The sequence below is a fragment of the Homo sapiens genome, chromosome 5 (assembly GCF_000001405.40).
Source record: "Homo sapiens chromosome 5, GRCh38.p14 Primary Assembly".
In the NCBI taxonomy this organism is placed as follows: domain Eukaryota; kingdom Metazoa; phylum Chordata; class Mammalia; order Primates; family Hominidae; genus Homo; species Homo sapiens.
In genome coordinates this window covers 145,754,623-145,777,487 of record NC_000005.10, presented here as the reverse complement: position 1 = coordinate 145,777,487, position 22,865 = coordinate 145,754,623, and the positions used below count along the sequence as shown (strand labels likewise).

At 40.1% G+C, this 22,865-nt stretch overlaps 1 protein-coding gene across 17 annotated transcripts in view; it reads left to right on the top strand.

Moving 5' to 3' along the window:
* PRELID2 (PRELI domain containing 2) overlaps nt 1-22,865 on the top strand; it is a 606,358-nt gene that overhangs the window by 57,855 nt on the left and 525,638 nt on the right. For 6 of the 17 annotated variants that reach the window (XR_007058586.1, XM_047416830.1, XM_047416832.1 and 3 more), the window contains one exon: nt 12,488-12,557. The exons of 2 other annotated variants lie outside the window; for them this stretch is intronic. Coding sequence is in view for 14 of the 15 variants with exons in the window: in XM_047416830.1 (XP_047272786.1) it covers nt 12,488-12,547 (60 nt within the window). In the remaining variant the exon portion in view is untranslated. Of the gene's footprint in view, nt 1-1,057; nt 1,630-12,487; nt 12,558-16,962; nt 21,145-22,865 lie in introns of those variants that run through there. 9 more of the 17 variants (XM_017009135.2, NM_205846.3, XM_017009132.2 and 6 more) reach the window with 3 other exon arrangements.

Sequence of the window (22,865 nt, the reverse complement as noted above, 5' to 3'; positions counted from 1 at the left end):
TCAAGATCGCACAGGTGGTGAGTGGTAGAATCCAGATTTAAACTAGACAGTGGGACTCAGACTGAGCACATAATTACTAGGCTGCCTGGCTTTAAGGTACTGAAAATTTCCTCTCATGCTAGGTGCAGTGGCTCATGCATGCCTGTAATCCCACCTACTCAAGAGGCTAAGGTGGGAGGATTGCCTGAGCCCAGGAGTTCAAGGCCTCAGTGAGCTACAATTGAACTGCTGCACTCCAGCCTGGGCAACAGAGTGTGAGACCCCGTCTCTAAAACAAAAAAGGAAATTCCCCCTCATTTTACTTTTCCAGCAGCTCACTTCTTTACTTCAGCCACTGTAACAAACTATTTTCTAGAGAACCTGAATTTGTTGGCCAAATTCCATATAAGACGTGAATCAGAGCTGTCCCTCAGTCTTGGGAATTTTGCATCAGTCTCCAAACAAGAGCCAGAATTGCTTACAGCACTTGGTCTTTTAAAACAATCCCACCCTTGCAGTTCACCAAGTGAAGGATTTGTGAATTTTTTAAAAATACAAGCCTTAATTTTTTTATTGAAAGGAATAATTTTATTAAACTGTTTAACATTAAAGACAGATGGTAGATTTGGAACATCATCCATGTGGGAGATAATAATACATGCAGGGATATCTCAACCAAATCATACAACGAATATCCTAGGGATTAACCAAGAACACTCCCCACTTAGTTAGCAACTGAAATAGTAGAACAACTTTTAAGAAGTATCAACATTATTACATCTATTTCTTCAGTGTCTCCTTCCCCTTACCAGTTTATTACAGGGTTTAGGAGCTTGAAAGAGCATTTGTATATACAGTAGTCCCCCTTATCTTTGGTGGATATGTTCCAAGACCCCCAGTGGGTGCCTGAAACGGTGGATAGTATGGAACTCTACATACACTATGTACAAATTTCTTTTTCCTTCTTCACAGTTTCATGGATAGAAGACTTGTTCTTACCATAGATCTTAGCAACCTCAGCATATGATTTTTTTTTCTTTCTTTCTTCATTTGAGAACTTTCACCTTTTCACTTACAGGAAACACATTGTGGCTTCTCTTCAACATATCTGAATTGTCAGCATCACTACTTTTGCACTTTGGTGCCCTTATGAAGTAAAATAAGAGTTACTTGAACACAGGCACAGTGATACTGCAACGGTTGATCTGAGAGCTCAGAGGGCTACAGAGTGACTAATAGGCCAGCAGTGTCTACAGTGTGGATATCCTGGACAAAGAGATGATTCATGTGCCAGGACAGAAGATTTCATCACACGTCTCAGAATGTCATGCACTAAAAACTTATGAATTTTTTATTTCTGGAATTTTCCACTTAATATTTTTGGACCACAGTTGACTGTGGGTAACTGAAACTGTGGAAAACAAAACTACAGATAAGAGGTAACTATAAACACTGCAGGCATTTTTTTTCTTTGCAAATAGTTGACTTAAAAACAGCCCATGGTTTATTTTTAGGCTATTATCTGCATATAGAGATTTTATTTTTTAATCATTTAGTAGCTTTCCTGTATGTAGCTTTTTTTTTCTGATTACTCTTTTTAATTTGTAATGTTAAGTGTGTGGAATTAAAACACAAACGTCACTTCCTAAACTTGCCATGGACTTACTGTTCCTTCACTCCACAGGTAGTGCAAAGGATGAGGAGTGAAGTCAAGCTATCATATTTATGTTGCTTTTGTTAATGACAGCACTCTGGCTAACCTTGTACTTCATTCACCCACTGTGGGTTTTGTCCCCAAGAAATGATGACTTTGTTCAGTACTGAAAGGCTTTTAGTGGGAAGTGAAGGGCCCTCCATGTTGGCATTACACAATGGAATTCTGATAGGCAGATATTGTGTTAAAGCAGAAATGCTTCCCTGTGGAATGTTTCTCTTCTGGCTTCTCCAGAGTGCACAAGGGAGCTTCACTTAGTGTCAGCTCAAAACAAAATTCATTTGCATACATGGGGAGGTGCTTTTTTTCTTATGGCAATTTCAAGAACTACATGTTCCCTGCCTCTTCTAAATTAATAAAATTAAAACCACGCAGATGTAGATGGAAATTATTTTTTGATTGTAGGAAGGAATGTGCCGAAGCTGACATGTCATTTTTTGGTAATTTGAGAAAACCCTATAAACACATCTTTTCGAGGAGATAGTATACGGAAGGCTCAGAGTCACAAAAATCAGGGTGTGAAGCTGGATTATGCTACTGTTTCTTTTTTTTTTTGAGATGGAGTCTCATTCTGTTCCTCAGGCTGGAGTGCAGTGGCTTGATTTCGGCTCACTGCAACCTCCACCTCCCAGGTTCAAGTGATTCTCCAACCTCAGCCTCCTGACTAGCTGGGGCCACAGGCGTACATCACCATGCCTGGCTACGTTTTGTATTTTTTGTGGAGATGGGGTTTCACCATGTTGGCCAGGCTGGTCTCAAACTCCTGACTTCAAGTGATCCACCCACCTCAGCCTCCCAAAGTGCTGGGTTTATAGGTGTCAGCCATTGTGCCTGGCCTGATTTTGCCATTTATTAATTGAGTGTCTTTGGTCACCTTTTTTAACCGAGCTGAACTTCATTTTTCTTATGTAATTGACTTATAGGTAGGATGTGAGAGGGTGAAGGCATGTAATGTGCTCAGCACAGACTAGTAGATAGAGGCCTTAGCTTGCTTGCTAATTAGTTCTTTCCCTGGAACTGGATCCTAGTTCTGTCTTTGATGACTACTATGACCTGAGGAAACCTGGTTTACCCTGCTGGGCCTAATAGTGTGAAACAGAAGTGTTAGTGACTCTTAGAGGTGATGTGAAGGGTGAGGAAAATGTGAGCAAGCATGAGGTGAGCCCCTGCTGGTATTTCCTATAGGTCATCAGCCTCTAGCTGAATGTGGGGAGGTGCCTCACTGCGGGAGTCCCATTATGAGGGGCCCCTAGTCAGATAGAGTCCATATATAAATCAGTAGCTACTTTTTAGGACATGGGAAGAATGGGAGGTAATGGTTAACAAAAGTCTGTTGTGTGCCAGTAGCTTTATATGTTGCCTCATTTAATCTTCAGGAGTGATCCTGCAGTGAAGTGTACTTATTCTCTTCCCTCTACACATTTTCAGGCACAGAAACACATTCAGTGAGGTAAGTAAGCACTCGTTGTGGAATGAGGTGGAGAAATCCAGATTTAAATCCTAGGTCTGCCACTTGCTAGCTACATGACTTTGAACAAGTCATTTACCTCTCCGAGGCTGAGTTTTCTTACCTGGAAATGGTGAGAGCAGAACTGTCTTACCTCACGGGACTATTGAGAGGGTTAAATGAGATAATGTAAGTAAAGTGTCAGCATACAGTAACCCCATAATAAATTATCATTAGATTCAATATTGAGGTTTGGTGAGATTGGTTTTTGACTGAAATATGGCTTTGAAAAATTCTATTTTGTTGAAAGGAAACACCTGACTTGAAGACACAGTAGACTGACCTTTTATGTAAAGAAGATCATTGACTTATAGAATTGCATGAACCTGTGGGGAAGGAGAAGGGTAGAGATACAAGATAAAAGCAGAATTATCTGGGCAGCTGTTAGATTTATTTATTATTTGAGCATCAATTGGATTCATTTATTCTGTTAAAGACAATTTGTTGATAAAATGTACAAGCATGCTGCTAACCACTTTATCTCAGAATAGGGAAGAAAAAAGGGAAAATTATGACTGAGCTTAAGTCTGATGAATAGTGAAAAAATGGCTGATAAAGGGGAAATAATAGGAACCTTGTTGCTTTTCACTTGGGCACAGTTGAGAGTACAGGAGTTGGTACTGGGATGGTCTGGTGCCAGCCACTAAAACAGTTCCTTACTCTTCAATGTGAGGAAGCACTGTCTCGTAATTAAGCACAGATGGACTAAGGAACAGTATGCTTCCCATGAATGGAGGTTTCCAGCAGGCAACAGATGATCAAATGTTATAAATGTCATGGATGGACATGGCACTGGGGGAGAGGCCATATTTTGCATGAAGTGCAAGTGAGGAAAAATAAAATTATATGCAGGTCAAATTTTTTAAAATTCAAAATGAAAATAGATTAATTGAGTCACATTGGAAGGTGGCGGAAGTAACTTTGTAAAATAGAAAAACACCAGCGACTTAAATCTTCATGTTAGGTTAGGGTTTATTTGAAAATCAGCAACATGATTTATTAATTGATCTTTCATTCTGTTATTTGATTGCAGGAAATCTCTTTAAATCAGATGGACCATTTTTGATTCTTTGCTTAGAGTTTCCTATCCGGACTAGAAAATATAAGGTCCTTTCCAGTTTTTAGACTTTATTATTTGAGGATATATTCTTTTCCATTATAAATTGTGAAAATTAAATATTCTCTTTAAGGAGAGAGAAAGCTTTATAATGTGAAGCAAAGACATCTGAATTATTGTATCAGTTTAATGTTCTGCAGTTACACCTAAAGATTTTGGGTTACTTATAAAAATAAAAATGAATCTTACTCAAAAGTTTATTAGCTACTATGGGAAAATTATATTGAAGCCATACATTCTATCAGGCTATTTCTAATTGAAAAAACATTGTCTTTAAAACAGTTTGTAGATGGGATTAGATATTGATTCATATATTAAGATTCATGTTATTTTGTTTGGGAGCAGGACTAAAATACCTGACTTATTTATTAGGCTCTTTGAATACAGCCAATAAAGAAAGGAAGAAAAGCTCTTGCTATGTACCTGCTATGGTTTGAATGTGTCCCCCCAAGGCACATGTTGGAAACTTAATCCTTGGTGCAACAGTGTTGGAAGTGACCTAATGAGAAGTGTTCAGATAGTGAGGGCTCCACCCCTTTGAATGGATTCATGCCAATTATAAAAGGGCTTGAAACTGTGAGTTCAATCTCTTGGTTTCTTGTACATACCCTCTTGCCAAGTGGTGCCTTCTGCCATGTTATAACACAGCAAGAAGGCCCTCACCAGATGCACTCCCTCAATCTTAGACTTCCCAGCCTCCAGCACTGTAAACCAAATAAACTTTTTTTTTGTTTACAAATCACTCAGCCTATAGTATTCTGTTACAGCAGCACAACACAGACTAGTTCCAACAGTGTGTCGGGGGTTTTCACTTTTGCATTCTCATTTAAACTTCCCATCCCCACAGTGTAGTAAGATTCAGGGTCCTGGATTCTTGAGCCTGATTGCCTCCTGTCAAATTGAGGTTTAGTTACTGTGTGATTTTGAACAGGTTGTTTAATTTCTCTGAGCCTTGGTCTCATCCAAAAAAAAAAAGGGGAGATGGGAGGGTAAAATAAGTGATTGCAGGCAAAGTGCTTGGCACACTGTATGTGCCAATGAATTTTAACTGTTTATTTTAGATTATTATTAGGTGTTATTCCACTTTCTAGATAAAGTTCTGCATCTAAAAGGATTAGACAGCATCAGATTAAAAGTTGCATAAAAGTTGCTTTATTGTGGTAGAAGATCTCTTCATGGAGAAGTGTCATGCAGTATTCTCTTACCTTTTGATGAGAAAACTGGATGTAGATCCCTTCGCCCTTTCCTCCCTTCATCTCTTCCTTCCTCCCATGCAGTTCCCACTCCCATCCATTTTCTTTCTTGCTTTTTTTTTGAGATGGAGTCTTGCTCTTATTGCCCAGGCTGGAGTGCAGTGGTGCGATCTCGGCTCACCGCAATCTTCGCCTCCCACGTTCAAGCAATTCTCCTGCCTCAGCCTCCCAAGTAGCAGGGATTACAGGCATGCGTCACCACACCCAGCTAATTTTGTAGTTTTAGTAGAGATGGCGTTTCTCCATGTTGGTTAGGCTGGTCTTGAACTCCTGACCTCAGGTGATCCACCTGCCTCAGCCTCCCCAAAGTGCTGGGATTACAGGCGTGAGCCACTGTGCCCAGCCACTTCCATCCATTTTCTTAAGCCTCCTTCTCCTTGGTCTTTCCCTTTATCTCTGTGTGTCACACTTACGACTGGACTTTGGGTCTTACTCAAATCCCTCTTCTTCAAGTGGCTTCTGCAAGTCCTTCCTTCCTGCAACATTAATTTCTACTTCCTTTCTTCCATTATACAGTCACTTAGCAAAAGGGATACATTCTGAGAAATATATTATTAGACGATTTTGTCATTGTACAAACCTCATAGAGTGCACGTCCACAAACCTAGATGGTAGAGCCTACAACATACCCAGGCTATATGGTACAGCCAGTTGTTCCTAGGCTATAAATCTGTACTCATGTACTGTACTGAATACTGTAGGCAATTGTAACACAATGATAACTATTTGTGTATCCAAACATAGCTAAATATAGGAAACAGTAGAGTAAACATATGGTATAAAAGATTAAAAAAAGGGTATACCTGTATAGGACACTTACTGTGAATGAAACTTGCGGGACTGGAAGTTGCTCTGGGTGGGCGAGTCAGTAAGTGGTGAGTAGGAAGGCATGGGACTTTACTGGACATTACTGTGCATTACTACAGATTTATAAACCCTTTGCACTTAGGCTACACTACATTTATAAACAAATACTTTTGTTTATTCAATAACAAAATAACCTTAGGTTGCTTTAACATTTTTTACTCTATAAAATTGTGAATTTTAACTTTTTGACTATTTTGTTATAACCGTTAGCTTAAAACGCAAACACATTGCACAGGTATGCAAAAGTATTTTGCTTTATATCCTTATTCTAGAAACTTTTTTCTATTTTTGAAATTTTTAATTTTAATTTTTACTTTTTGAACTTTTTTGTTAAAAGCAAAGGCATATACATTCACACATTAGCCTAGGCCTACACAGAATCAGGATCATCAATCTCATTGTCTTTCACCTTCACATCTTGTCCCATTGGAAAGTCTTCAGGGGCAGTAACATGGAGCTGTCATCTGCTGTGATAACAATGCCTTCTTCTGGTATACCTCCTGAAGGACCTGCCTGAGGCTGTTTTACAGTTAACCTTTTTTTCAGAGACAGGGTCTCTCACTTTGTTGCCCAGGCTGTAGTGCAGTGGCATAATCATAGTTCACTGCAGCCTCAAACTCCTGAACTCAAGTGATCCTAAGTAGGTAAGACTACAGGCTCATGTCACTGCAACTGGCTAATTAAATTTTTTTTTTTTAATAGAGAAGGGGTCTTACTATGTTGCCAAAGCTGGTCTCGAACTCCTGGCCTTAAGCAATCCTCCCACCTCAGCCTCTCCCAAAGTGCCACCATGCCTGGCCCTATAGTTAATTTTTTTCATAAGTAGAAGTACATTCTAAAATGATAAAAAGTACAACATAATAAATATATAAACCAGTAGTGTAGTCATTTACCATCGTTATCAAGTATTATGATGTTATAATTATATGTGCTATACTTTTATACAACTGGCAGTGCAGTAGTTTTGTTCACACCAATGTCACCACAAACACATGAGGAATGTATTGGGCTATGACAGCTACAACGTCACCAGGTGATAGGATTTTTTCAGCTCCTATACAGTCCTGTGGGACCACCATCATATATATCATCTGTCATTGACTGAAATGTCATCAAGCAGCACATTACTGTACTTTTTTCTTTTAAAAGTCATAGTGTTTTTCAGAGGCTGTGTTGCCTTTCAGTTATTTTTAATTCCTCTATTTCCTCTGAAGAGGCCAATGGTCCATTGAGTGCAGGCTTCTTGTCTTATCTGCATCCCTGTTCCACGTAGCTTCCCTGCCCTTCCTTACACACAGTGGGTGCATCAGTTCATGGTGTTTACTCCAAAGCCATGACCCACAAGAAAGCGTTATTTCCAGTGGGGGTCTTTAACACCAATCTTTTATCACTGATAATTGAATGAGCAATTCTGTTTTGTTAAGAGCTCCCTGTGGATGCACCTTTTGAGAACTGCTTTAGAAAATTTTTGTTTGGTCTAATATTACTCTCTTCCAAGCCTCCTACATAAATCAGAGCTTCTCAAGGAAGGATTAGTTTTATAGCAAAGTAAATATACTGTTTGAATTTAGCCACCTTTAGTTTCAACTTATTCCTGCTCCTCTTAAGACAAGTTTGTGTTTTTAGTAATAATCAGCTATTTCTGAGACTCTTAGAGTGGAGAATTTGTGAAGTGTTTAGAATCTGACTCTGAGACTCCTTTGTGGGGATACATTTGGTCAGCACAGCTCTGGTATTAGGGAAATGAACCTGCGAGATAGCTCACTTATCTGTACATTGGCAAATAGAGAAAGATAGTCTTGTAATAGAGAAAAAAAAATCTCAGAGGGGAAAGAAATAATAAAATCAAGCTGGTTTATGGTTTGTCAGTCCAAAAAGCTTTTAAGCCTTATCTATAAAGGTAGATCCACTTAATGTTTGTTCTGCATTTCAGGCATCATTGTGTGATAAGTGGTGTAAATTTAGCCCCTTTAAGCCTGATCTCCTGGGGGTTGAGATTTAAGCGTTGGAACTTTATTTGAAAGGACTCTATTGACTGGGCTTTGATTTGGTCCTTCTTTACCGAAGAGAGGTACTAAATCATGGCTTAGCTTCCCTGTTAGGTGTTTTTTTTTCTTTTTTGTTTATTTTATAGGCCTCTCTCTCCCTGCCGCCATTCTCCATGTTCCATTTCTAACTGTTCTGCTTAGACTGAAGTGGTATGAGAGGGGGGGAAAAAGGGAAAGAAAAATCAACTGTCACCCTGTGAACTTAATTGATTCAATAAATAACGTCTTTCAATTCCCAAGGAAAACCTCAGTCTTCACTTATGTCAATTAGTGTTCAGTTCAATAAGTGGTGGAGGTCTTAATTTAGATGGATGGGAAAGTTTGCAGGTCCTCACCTCCTAGGGAAGGAGTGTGCTTTTCTTATTTTAAAGTCATACCGTCTGGATTTATGCTCTACTCTGTAAATAGAAGCTTGAAAGAGAATTAATGTGATAGTTTTTATTCTTCCTGAAAATAGAAAGAAGACATTTAATTATTGTCCAGAGATTTGTTAGAATAAAAAAGTGAAGTGAGGGAATGAAAATTTTCTGGAATCTACTAGACTGTAAACTCCATGGGGGCAGGAACTATCTTGTTCATTCACCATTTAATCCCCAGTGCACGTAGTAGGTGCATAGTACATATTTGTTAACTGGGTCTGTTGTTAAGGGAATAAGAACGAAAAGGGGCACAATGCAGGTTTTCTGTTAAGAATTTAGTTAAATTTCATTTCACTGGTTGTTTCGTCCCTTGTCCCCAATCCCCTTTCCCCTAATTCTTTTTTTTTTTTTTTTTTTTTTGAGACAGAGTCTCGCTCTGTCACCAGGCTGGAATGCAGTGGCGTGCTCTTGGCTCACTGCAACCTTTGCCTCCCTGGTTCAAGCAATTCTCCTGTCTTAGCCTCCTGAGTAGCTGGGACTACAGGCACCCACCACCACGCCCAGCTAACTTTTGTATTTTTAGTAGAGACGGGGTTTCACCATGTTGGCCAGGATGGTCTCCATCTCTTGACCTCGTGATCCACCTGCCTCGGCCTCCCAAAGTACTGGGATTACAGGCATGAGCCACTGTGCCTGGCCTCCCCTAATTCTTTAAATGGAAGGTACCTCTTAAGAGTGTAGTATATACTATATCTTCAGAAATGATTAAGGATAACCTGTTTCATCAATTCCAAGACTGTCAGAGTTGGAAGAGATGGTGTAAAGCTGCTATTTACAAATTCTAGTAAATGAACTGGTTGTGTTTCAGAATCACATTGAAATGGGATAGTTCTCTGACCCCTTTCCATGACTTATGAAGGGGTTGCCTCATTTACTCAGCACGCAGCTCTCAACCCCTTGCAAAAGGGGGAGCACACAGGTGAGCAGATGCAGATGCCAGGATGAGTGCTTTTGGACAACCAGTAGGAGCAGAACTCTGTGCGGGCCTATGGAAGCATCTAGAGGTTGCCTTTGACCCTCAGAACCCCAGGGAGTGCGTGTTATAGTGTGCTCTTTTAGCTTTGTCATTCATAGATGGCTTAAGTGTTAAGCAGCTCAGTGGAGGGTCAGTGTGACAGCCTCTTGCACTTGCACCCGGCTCCTTGTCCTGCATCCAGGAAGAATCAGGTGGCGTGAACGAATTGAAGGGTGGTGAATGTGGAGGATTTTACTGAGCAGTGGAAGTGGCTCTCAGCGGGATGGGGAGCTGGAAAGGGGATGGAGTAGAAAGGTGATTGTCCCCTGGAGTTTGGCTGTCCTTGGCTGAATTCCTCTCTGAGGTCCTGCCATCAAGCCATCCCTCTGAAGTCAAGCTGCTTCTCTCCAATGTCCAGCTGCTTCTTCTCCTCTCTCCTCTGCTGCTCTGCCACTCCACCAGTGGGGCCTGGGGTTTTTATGGGTACAGGGTGGGGGGTGGGGTGGGCCAGGGTGGTTTTGGAAAAGGCAACATTCATATGGGAAAACGGGAATGTATATTCTGACTTTGGGCCACAGGTCCAGGCTTGAGGGTGTGGCCCTCACCAGGGACTGCCCTTTTCTACCCAGTATTTTCCTGCCACCTGTCCTTATCAACATGAAGTATGTTACACACATACAGACTCAGGCCTGAGACTTGAAATTTCTGACTGAGTCAAATACACTCTTGGGTAGACTCTTGGGAGTCTGTTTTCTTTTGTGACTCCCCTTAGTAATGCTAGAGTGCAACTGGGTATAGAAAGCACTAATCCCATCTAGCTCTCAGTGCCCTGACCTCTGTGGTCTATGTTACTCCTTAGTAAAAGTGATCAGCCTAAGGTGCCTAGCAGAATGATTGGTGGAGCTGTGACTAGAACTCAGGTCTCCTACCTCTGACAGTGGTGCTCCTGGTCCTGTGGTTTGCTGCTTTGGTTTAGCAAACACTCCTTACTACTCAGCATTCTCTCAAGATCCAGTAATACTTCTTCCTTCCAAGATAACGGTAGTATTTGTGGTGATGGCCAGGCAGAATCTGAAGGACCTTCTGAATCCTCAAGGAAATACTAACTTTAGTTTAGTCTACTTTGGTGTTAAATATATTTTATTGTCTTCTCTAGCGATGCCTTTGATTACCCTCCGTCCCCATCCCTGGGCTTAGATCCCAAGTAGGAAGTCCCTGCCTTTTTCCTGCAGGCCCACGTGGTGTTCACAGCCCTGCCTAATCATAAGAGGATCATATGGGTGCCTCTTAAGGGCATAGAGCTCTGGTGCCTGCTTGAGTCCCATTAAATCAGAATTTTCCTGGGAGGGGCCTGGGGATCTGTATTTTAAGTTCCCCTTATCATTATTCTTCTCTGCAAGAATTCTCAGGCTCAGATCTCTGAAAATAGCAGCTCCCTTTCCCATGGATCCAACTTTGATGTCCTGGAGACCTCAGTTTATAATTGCATCATAACCCTGTCTTCCCACTTGAAGGTTTATCCTCTGGTCTGTAAAACTTGTCCTTTAAGGAGGAAAGGAATTCATGCTTTCTTCTTTCTTCCAAGGTAGAATTTTTCTGGACAGGATGCTGAGTAGATAGGTGGGTATGGACAGTAGAAAAATGAACATTGCAAGAAGGTTCATGGAGGCCTTTGAAAAGGAAGAGGGTGCCTGTGCTGTTTCCCTGGCTTTATTATTTAATAGTTGTGTAACTTCGGGGAAATTATTTAAACCTCTTTGAGTTTCTGTTTCCTCGTCAGTAAAATGTGGGTAAGGATAGTACTTATTTGGAGGTTTTATGTGTATTAAGGTGTCCTAGGTCAGCTCTTGGGGCACAGACTTAGTTTGAGATTTGCCTGCAGGCGGTATTGTAGTGCGCACTCAGGAACAACTCTTGTCATGGGGTACGGGAAGGGATTTTTGAACTGCAATGCACTTGTAACAAAGGTCTTAGCTGATCCCTTGGGGAGCTTTGAGGGTTGGATGCTCCTCAGAGTTGTCCCAAATTAAGGGAAGGGGGCCAGGTCTTTATACCGCTGTACATACCAGTCATCCAATGATGTATGCTGCCCCTGGAGGGACATGACTTCAGGTAAGGCAGCTCCCTTTGGCAGAGGGTGGCTGTGTGCCAGCAGCAGCCTACAGTCTTGGTGGAAAGGGAAGGAGTGCTTTAGTTCTGGGAGGGGTCTCAGTGATACACCATAGCACTCGCTACCCCCAGGTAATGCACATAAAACCCCAGCAGTGAATCTAGCATATTTGTAAATGTTCAATGAATATTAACTACTGCCATTATCATTCTAGCTCTGGCAGGGCCACTTTCAAGAAGTTATTTAACTACTCTTGGGTTGTTTTCTTATGTTTAAAATGGCGATCATAAGCTCCGTTCTGCCCATGTCCCTGAGTAGTTCTGAGCACATGCGGAGATAATGTATGTGAAATTGCTGAGTAAAATATTAAAAAAATGTCAGGTATGGCTATGAGCCTACTTTGTTGAAATGAATATATGGCCATGACCTGGATTCTTTGAAGGGAAAAGGTTGTGATAAATGTAAAAGTACTTGTCTGTGAAATAGGGCATTTTAATTTTTTTTCCTTCTTTCTATAGGGAATTAGAATCATGGAGATGCTGCTAAAGGAACAGTGTGGTGCCCCCTTAGCTGAATAAAGAATCATCAGTGAGTACCAAAAGCAAAGTCAGAATTATTTACACAAGCCATATTTTCATGCTTATCAGCCTGGTATTCTACAGCAGCCTCCCTGGGCTATTCACGCTGCACATTTCCCAGTTATATGCACAGAATACTATTTCACAGGTGTTTTATCTCTTCAGTACTTTTATTTACTTGGTTCTTTGATTTTCAGAGCAGTTTTGTATTACATGCTGGGTTACAACTCTATTCAAATTGTTAAAACTGTTGCACAATCTACCATGATTGAGAGCCTCAAGGTGTTATAGATTTGTAAAGACTGCAGCTCAGATTAACTGAGGCTTAATGTTTTTGTTCTGAAAATAATCAAAGGAAGCCTTTAAAAGTGTAATTGGAGCAGGAAGAGAAACAAGGAAGGGGCATGTTGATTGGCCAGTGAAACAAATATCTCTTATTAGTCATATGTATTTCCACTGATGGTGGGTAACTGCCTGAAATGCTATTGAAAGGGATTCTGAAGTCTTGAGAGTAATTCCCAGGCTCTGGGTAAGAGTGCCTTGGTGGTTAACAGTGTCTGCCATGGGCACAGGATGGAAGGAGGACAGCACTCATGCTGAAGCACGTGCCACATCTAGTTTAGGGCAAATGGTATAGGGTTAACAGATAGTGGGGGATTGCAGAACTACTCAACTCCCTACCCCCACCTCCTAAATTTCTATTGTCTGGATCAGGGAGAATGGTCTTTGTAGTGGAAAGGGCAGGGCAGAGTTATTTAAGAAAGAATCAAAGCCCAAAATAAATGAGTATGATAGGTTTACATCTTACAGAATTTATAGGCCTTAGGTTTTTTTGTTTTTGTTTGTTTGAGATGGAGTCTTGCTCTATTGCCCAGGCTGGAGTGCAGTGGTGTGATCTCGGCTCACTGCAGCCTCCACCTCTCTGCAACCTCCATCTCCCGGGTTCAAGCCATTCTCCTGCTTCAGTCTCCCGAGAGGCAGGAACTACAGGTGTGCACCATCATGCCCGGCTAATTTTTGTATTTTTAGTAGAGATGGGGTTTCACCATGCTGGCCAGGCTGGTCTTGAACTCCTGACTTCGTGATCCACCTGCCTCAGCCTCCCAAAGTGCTAGGATTACAGGCGTGAGCCACTGTGCCTGGTCAGGCCTTAGGTTTTTAACATCTGAGAGTTGAAACCTTTGAATAAAACAAACTTTGCCTTGGGTAATGTAGAATTACCTCAGGTTTTCTTGTGTTGGTTTAAAAGTTGAGACACATAGTCTTGTGTAAGCAACCTGGTATTCTAATTGTGATAAACAGTAAAGAGTGAGAGCAGTTAACCAAAAAGAAGCAAAAGGAACATCATATACAAGCACCTTGGCGTGTAAAGCATGCTGTCCAGACCTGTGAATGAACATCATTCGGAGAATTGTAAAGTCTTTCTGCTTATTTGCAGGTTGGACTCCATTTTGATTAATATGAAACCTCTGTATACTTAATACATATTAATAGACTCCTTTATTACTGGAAAAGCTAAATAAGATAATTTCATTTAGCATAGGCATACACATAGCAGGTGCTCATAAATGTTGGAATTGAATCTAAATATGGTTTACTCCTACACCCACCCTGTTCCTTAAAAAATTATAGAGAACAACTTGGCCACATCTCCCTGGTTTTCTCGGCTAGCATATTTGTGAGGCTCACTAAGCACCTCTTGTACTTGCATGCTTAGGCACAGATCCCATCTTACTCTGGAGGGTGGGATCTCGAGTCAGCTCCAAGGTAAATGAGGGAATGAGGGGTCTCCATTTCCATGGGAAAGGTATACACCTATTGGTCTTCAAACTTCAAATTAGTGTTTTTGAAACTTTCTTGAGCATCAGAGTCATCTGGAGGATTTGTTAACACAGATTGGTGGGCCCCACTCCCCAAGTTCTGATTCAGTAGGTCTGAGATGGGGCCTGAGCATTTGTGTTTCTAACAGATTTCCAGGTGATGGTGATCCTGGTCCTGGGGCCACACTTTGAGAATGGCAGTTTTAAATGAGTTCACTTCTTTGGGTGGAGACAGATGAAATGCCAGGTCACTGAGAAAGCTAATAGCTAGGAGTTAGATATTGTTGTCATGTATTCGGTCAACTTTTGATTAATAGGAAGAATGATATTCTTTGTATGGCTTTTCCCTGATTTTAGCATCTCAGCTTCTTGTTTGCCCCCTTTTTTGTTGCTTAAATGTGGCCAGGCTCTACCCTGGAGCAAATGCAGTTGAAAAGAGGGGAGGTGAGATTCACATCAACTCGTACTTTAAATCAGTTTGGATTTAAATTGTTGGTAGTGAATATGAGTAAATTAAACAAGTTTACAGCATTACCTATTGTCTTGTTACCCATGTTCTGTGTTTTGTTTTGTTTTATTTTGAGACATGGTCTCACTGTTCTGTTGCCCAGGCTGGGGTGCAGTAGCGCAATCACGGCTCACCATAGCCTTGACCTCTGGGGTTCAAGCAATCCTCACACCTCAGCCCCCTTAGTAGCTGGGACCATAGGCGTGCACCACCACACCTGGCTAATTTTTTCCTTTTTTATAGAGGTGAAGTCTCCCTATGTTGCCCAGGCTGGTGTGTTTTTTATGTTTGTTTGTTTGTGTTTTTGTCCTGTGGTTGAGGGCTAAGCCATGAACTCAGGGCATCGTATTGTTTGTGAAAAGCAACTTACTCTCCTCTCTTAAGTGAAATGGTCGAGGTCTGAATATAACCAGGAGTTTAGTACAGGACAGTTGCATTTAATGCATTCAATGCAATGAAATTTCCTGAAAGATTTATATAATTCCAACTCTCAAAATTCATGACCAGTTTTCTCAGAGGAGTAACTGTAAAGTAGGGGATATATGTATATGTATGTATGTACTCTTACCACATAAATCTACAATTTGATGTTGCATCGAATGCTGCCAGCTTATTCCTTTCCTTTTCTCCCATTTTCTTGACTGTTTTTACAAAGTTTGTCAAGTTTGAAATATGCCTATGTTAATGGAACTTTTTAATTTCTCAGAATTAACTGTATGGAAAATGGAGGGGGTGGTTGTAGGTGGGGGTACTACTGTTTTCATGTGTTGTAAAATGCTACATTAAAAGAAGTGGGGGAAATTAGCTCTATAGCTATAATAAAGTAGAGGTCAGGAAACTACAGCCTGTAAACCAAATTTAGCCGGCTGCCTGCTTTTATACACAAAGTTTTATTGGAACACAACTATGCTTCTAACTATGTTCAAAGCTACAACTGCAGAGTTGAATAGTTATAACAGTGACCTTATAGCTACAAAGCCTATAATATTTACTGTCTGGTCCTTGAAGAAAATTTTTGCCTACTGATTGAGTGTCCTAAATTAACATCAAGGAGTGTTGTGGTGATTGTTTGGCCTTTCAAAATATAGTGTTTGATCACGTCTTACCCCTAAAGTTTATAGTTTGACAGTTTGTTTTTCTTGCATTAGCTCTAACGTCAACACTTTGTGAAGACTTGGCTGATTTTATATTAAGACATAAAAAGGTATTAAAATGATAATAACAGGAAGTTAAAATACCAGCAACAGTGGTCACTAAAATTGCTCATAAAGTTCCAATGCGCGTACACAATGGAGTAGACATATAGGCATTTAGTTTGGCACATAAAGTGGCACTGTGATGAGGCTAGAGGGTAGGTGCTATTTATAATTTACTCAATTTTTTCAGCTTTGGAATTTTGCAATTTTTAATACTTAAAAGACGTTTTGTGGGATTTGCAGAAATCTGCATAAGGAGACAGTATTTAATATTTTTATATCATACCACATTTTAAATTTGCATAATTTAAATTCACATAGAAAGTGACTACGTTCTACACTGTACCTAACATTAAAGATACTTCACAGAACTCTCTGACCTGTATGTCCAAGTGGGCATTTGAAAATGAGAAAGCTTAGAAGGTGATTTTTGTCATGAGCCAAAATGGAGACACATAAATCTCACTAACCAATATGCTTGTGGCATTGCTGTTGACACATCCCTTTGATAGATTTTTGATTTCCTGTCATTTTTGAATAAAACAAATAACCCTGACAGCTGTCTGTTCTTGCCACTGGCAGTTGGGAGATCAGGCTTGGTGAGATTTGACAACATAGCAGAGTTCTATCACACTGGAATGATTAAGACCTCAATTTTAGCTATATCTTAACTCTTCTCTGAACCAGCTCCTTTGGGTAGTTGGACTTAATAAAATGAGGTGCTTGCCTTGTTCGAAGATCATTAGGAGGGAGAAATGCAATTTCAAGAATTATCCGTAGTGATAGAATTCAAGTGGACTCTGAAGAGTTGCTTCAGAAAAGAGGGCAAATAAGTATTGATTGGTGAGACATGTTTATGAGGTGATAAAGCCTGTTTGCTTTCTCTTGCAGGAGAGCTGTATCCATGTCTACTTATTTATTTATTTATTTTTTTTTTGAGAATCACTTCTTGGCCACAGCACATCACAGACACAGTTTCTGGAATACAGGTTTGAGGATACAGTGTTGGCAGCTTCAAGAAGAGAAGACCTTCTTGCCAGGACATAAAATGATACCCTCCTCTGGGAGCCTGCTTCGAATAGTGGGACTCAGGGAGATAAGACCTTCTTGCTGGATTTTTATGACACAATCTCTTTATAATTTTACAAATAAAGGAAAAAAGAACCATGTAAGATATGTGTGCCCTTCCTCAGGGTGTTCTGCTGGTTGTCTGATGATGGTGTCAGGGCAGCTAAGGACAGGATAAAGGCCTGGAGAGGGTGCTTGTGCCCTTATGTTATCAGCACCGTTGTTCCTAGGATTCGTGAGGGGATTCTGGAACCAATAAGGGAGTTGAACTGGTACCTGATTCACGGGTGGACTGGAACAAACAGGAATGTACCAGACCTATGTTGAAGCTAAGCCGTATTTATAACAATGTTTAAGATTCTCAGAAATCAGGAGATTTTTATCCTATCCATAAGTAATATGTAACTGCCATAAGTATAGCTTTTAGAATGTAATATGTAAACTGTGATTTGGTCCTCTGGAAAAAAAAAAATGAAATGAAGAGTGGGAAGGCAGTTTCTTTTCTGCTAATTCGTTCTGTGATGGTGAGCAAGCAAATCATTAACCTCTCTGTTTTTTATTGGGCAAATGGGGATAATCAGGCACAGGTCTTTCCGCCAATGCGTTATGATGATTAAAGAAGGTAATTTTGTGCAGGGTTTTAAGTCAACAGACAGACCTGGGTTTGAATCCAAGTGCTGGCACCTACTTGCTCAGTGATCATGAACACAATTTTAAATCTTTCTGAATCTCATTTAAAAAAATTTGTGAAACAAGATGATAGAATTAATTTTGTGAGATTGTTGGACTGATTTGAGATCATGCCTATGAAGTACCTAGCACACTGCCTAGTACATAGTAGAAGTCCAGGAAATGGAAGCCATTATTATGTAAAACATTTTGCAAAGGTACTTTTTAACTGTAACGTAAAGTGGTACTACTGTTTGAAACTTAGATGGCAGTAGTTTGCATTTCTCGTGATCAGAAGCCAAAATATAAATACATACTACCTAAAAAATCTTGAAGAGAGGTAATAATTTGAAATTCATCTTCTTAAGATAAAAATCAGGGCAGGGTGTGGTGGCTTATGCCTGTAATCCCAGTACTTTGGGAGGCCGAGGCGGGTGGATCACAAGGTCAGGAGTTCGAGACCAGCCTGGCCAATATGGTGAAACCCCGTCTCTACTAAAAATACAAAAAAATTAGCTGGGCGTGGTGGCGCATGCCTGTAATCCTAGCTACTTGGGAGTCTGAGGCAGGAGAATTGCTTGAACTCAGGAGGTGAAGGTTGCAGTAAGCTGAGATTGTGCCACTGCACCCCAGCCTGGGTGACAGAGCAAGACTCCATCACAAAAAAAAAAAAAAAAAAAAAAAATTCAGGCCGTTACTGGAGAGTCTTGGGGAAATTTTTTTTTAAAATGTCTGAAAATTTTTCCACTTAATCCATTGATGAATTTCAAAGCAATTGTATTTTTTCATACAAGCCTGCCACTGTGAGCCTGTTCTTATTGTATCTGAGCTCTTTGTGCTGCCTGAATTTTGTCTCTTAATTTCTTTTCAGCTTCATAGTGTTTCATTCTTCAATTGTGTTGGAGGGAAAAATAATGGTAGAAACTAAAACACACTTTGACCTTTTTTTTCCAATTTGTAGATGGCATTTGGTAGGCTTTTGGAGTAATAGCCTATTTCAAAAAATAAAAGGTGATGCAAATTATTGTGGAAGTGAGAGGCAAGAAATTTGTATTTGGAGGTTGACATTAGAGTAAGTTTAACCCTTCACACTCAAAAACTCCCATCCTCTGAAGGCAGGAGTTCTCAACCTTGGCTGTCTGTTAGGATTGCTTGGGGAGCTTTCTGCAATTCTGATGCCTGGGTTGCTTCTCAGACCAAAAATCAGAATCTCAGGTAGTGGAACCAAGGCATCAGCTTTAAAAAAAACTCCTTTGGTAGTTCCAGTGGGCAGCTAAGAACACTACAGTGACTTTTAGGTATTTGCAGACAATATTTAATTTTTTTCTTAATATCTCTGTGGTTGGAAAGGATCTTTGTAGCAGGAATTTTTTTATTAGAAATAGACCAAGGCACAGAGAGGTTGAATTTCTGCCTTGTGTGCCCGGTTCCAGCACAGTGCGGTTGTGTCGTTGGTCTTTTTTAGTATTTCCTATTTCCAATTTTCTAAGAAAAGACAGAATTAAAAAAAAAATCTCCTAGTTTTTTATTGGCAACCAATTCAGAATTGTTTAAAACATTGTGCTGGCCAAAACAAAAAACATGTTTGCCAGCCAGTAGTTTTTAGCCTCTGCTTCCAGAGTGTTAAGGACAGGCCTAAACATCCTGGCCAAGCTTTAATGGATTTGCATTTTTGTACTCTGGATGTAAGTTTTATTCTGCCTCTCCTCTAAGACTACTTTTAGATGTATCTTCCTCCTCATTCCTAAATAATCCTCAGGGATTACTTTTCCTCACTCAGTAATTTTCCCCCTGCAGGCAGCTATTGCTTCCAGCTTCACATATATGGCTTAGAAATTTTATGGTCTTTTTTTTTTTTTTTTTCATTTACTTTTTTTTGAGATAGGGTCTCACTATGTTTATCAGGCTGGTCTTGAACTTCTGGCCTCAAATGATCCTCCTGCCTCTGCCTCTGCCTCCCAAAGTGCTGGGATTACAGGCTTGAGCCACTGTGTCTGTCCTCTTTTTGGAATTAATTAGGGCTTGTTAATTTTTTTAAATTATATGTTTTGTGATAAAACATTTAGAAGTCCATGTTTTTTATTCTGTACTGTGTAGCTTAAGAAATGTCAAAACCAGGAGTACAGGCTTATTGGGCACACTAGAAACAAGAGTGGGAAAGGGTTAATTCACAGACCTGGCCAGTCTCCTCCTGTCTTCAAGGCGATGATTTACCCTGTGATTCTCAGACTTCACATGTACCAGAAATCTTTGGGGCAACGTGCTAACGTGCAGGTTCTCAGTCCCTTTCCCCAGCGATTCTGATTCGTGGAATTTCAGTTGATCATTCAGGACACAGTATAAAGTTCTTATGCAGAGAGAAGCTGACTTGAACTATCCCTATATGACTGAGGTGCTTTTACCAGGAAGGGGCTTTTATAGTTTCAGTCATATATGGATGAAAAAGGTGCTGTATTCTTTTTCTATGAACTACTTTGTGTATTTTATAAGCAGTATATATGTACTGATACTTGTTTATCAGACATTGTGCGGTGCATGGTGTAGAAAACTCAAGGTTATTCTTTTAACTTGCACATCTTTTTTACTTTATTTCAATCATTTACATCAAACTATTTCTTAATTTAGTATACATTTCTCTGCTTTTGCAAACACAGTCTACTGGGGATAATTAAATCTTTTCAGAGTCGTCATATATGTTTTTAATTCTTTCAGGCCCTACTTAGTTTTGTTAAAGTCCCTACACTGAAGGCTCCAGATACATTTGCTCTTTGAGTTCTACCATGGTTTTTAGAGTTTTTCTTTTCCCTCACTTTTATCTGTCATTTATCTCTCCCATTACTGTGCCTACCTCTAGGAAGCTTTCTCTAATTTGCCCTGGGGTTGGGAAATTGTGTAACTGCATACTATATGTTGAATAAGAGTAGAGAGGATTTGAATGAGGTTTTGAGAGGCTGTTCTAGCAATAAAAATGAATGTACTTTGCTACATTGACTTGGTGACATTATTTCAGTGGCTCAACTCTCTTCCCCTAACTTACTTCTTTATCCTCATCTGCAGTTGTCATATTTGTGAACTCGCGGCAAGTGAGATATTGCTAGAAATAATTTCTCTTGATCAATAAACCATTGTCTCCCCCAGCTGTGTTAGTGTTTTTGTGTATTCAGTTCTATAATGTGAAACTTAAGAGGATTAAAACTCAAAAAATGATCAGGCCAAATTTTTATGTGGGATGAAGTGTTTCTGATTCAGTGTTATTGTGATATAGAGCTATAAATTAGTTGTTTACCTATGAAATTCCTTCCTGCAGTCATTCTGAAATAAAGTTGTTACAGCTGATATTTATGTGTGCATTCTAATTTTGGGGGGTATCCCATCTCTCAGCCAAGCTTGTGGTTATCATTTATAGTAATAATCCTAGTCCTTTTCAGCTGCCCCAGATGAGGGTGTTATCCTGACCATACGATGTTAGCTCCCTGCCTTCCCTCAAGGTGAGACATTAGAGTTTCTTCCAGAAATAAGCAGAGGCCACCATTATTGAGTGACCTGGGTGGGCCAGGTGCTAATGGAACGAAGGACCAGGACCTGCAGAGGGAGAAGTAATGAAGCCCAACATGGACAAACAGAATGAAGCCAGGTGTTTCCAAAGGGTGAAGGAGAGAGAGTGTAGCTTCTTGTTGGCCTGTGAGGCTCAGCTCTATTTTCTGTACTTTGTTTCTGTTTCGTATTTATCCTTTCATTTGTCCTCATTTTACTTGAATGTGTTTGGGTGGGTTTCCGTGCCTTGTTACCAGAATGTCTTGTCCACACCCTGTTAATGCTAGAGCCCAGGTATGGTGATGATCCTTCCTTTAGGGGTAGAGCCCTAAGTTCAGCCAGCATTTATTGAGCATCTGCTGTGTGCAGGAATACGGCAGGATTTGTTTTCTCTTTTGGTCCAGTGTGTCACTAGAAGGCGTGTATCATTATATGAGGGAGCTTTAAAAAGTTCATAGGAAAATGGGATTAAAAGATAAAAATATAAACTTTATTTCTCAGAATAAGCTCTATCAAATTCAAGAGACTTTTTAAAGCAATGATACCAGCCATTTAGTCCATCCCTAAAGAACTGAGGGTCTTGGGAATTTAACCAGGTCAATGCAGTCTTTTTTACATTATTAACTGAAGAAAAATTGGTTGCCTTTAAAGGTTTCTTTTAAGATTAGAAAACAAAAAAAGTCAGAAGGATCCAAGTCAGGACTGTAAGGTAGATGCCTAATGATTTCCCATGAAAAATCTCATAAAATTGTCTTTAATGAGAGGAATGAGCAGGAGCATTATTGTGGAGAAGGCCTCTGAGGAAGCTTTCCTGTGTGTCTTTCTGCTAAAGCTTTGGCTGACTTTCTCAAAATACCCTCATAATAAGCAGATGTTGTTGTTTGCCCTCCAGAAAGTCAACAAGCAAAATGCCCTGAGCATCCCAAAACACGGTTGCCACGACCTTTGCTCTGGACCAGTCTGCTTGTGCTTTGACTGGACCACTTCTACCTCTTGGTAGCCATTGGTATGATTGTAGTTTGTCTTCAAGATTGTACTAATAAAGCCATGTTTCATCTCCTTGTACAATTCTTTGAAGAAATGCTTCAGGATCTTGATCTTACCTGTTTAAAATTTCCATAGAAAGCTCCACTCTTGTCTGCACCTGATCTGGGTGCAATGATTTTTACACTTATTGAGTGTAGAGTTTGTTCAACATTAATTTTTCAGTCAGAATTATATAAGTTGAACCAACTGAGATGTCTGTGGTGTTGGTTATTGCTTCTGCTAATTGCCATCCTCTTCAACTGGGGCACAAACAAGATTAATTTTTTTCTTAGAAATTGACGTGGATGGCCTGCCACTGTAGGGTTCATCTTCAGCATCATCTGGTCCCTTCTTAAAATGAGCTATGCATTTGTAAACTGCTGATTTCTTTGCAGAATTGTAAGACATCAATGATTTCATCATTCATCCCAAGCTTCACCATAGATTTGATGTTTTTGTTTCAATCTTAGCAAAATTTATGTTGTTCTGGTAGGGGC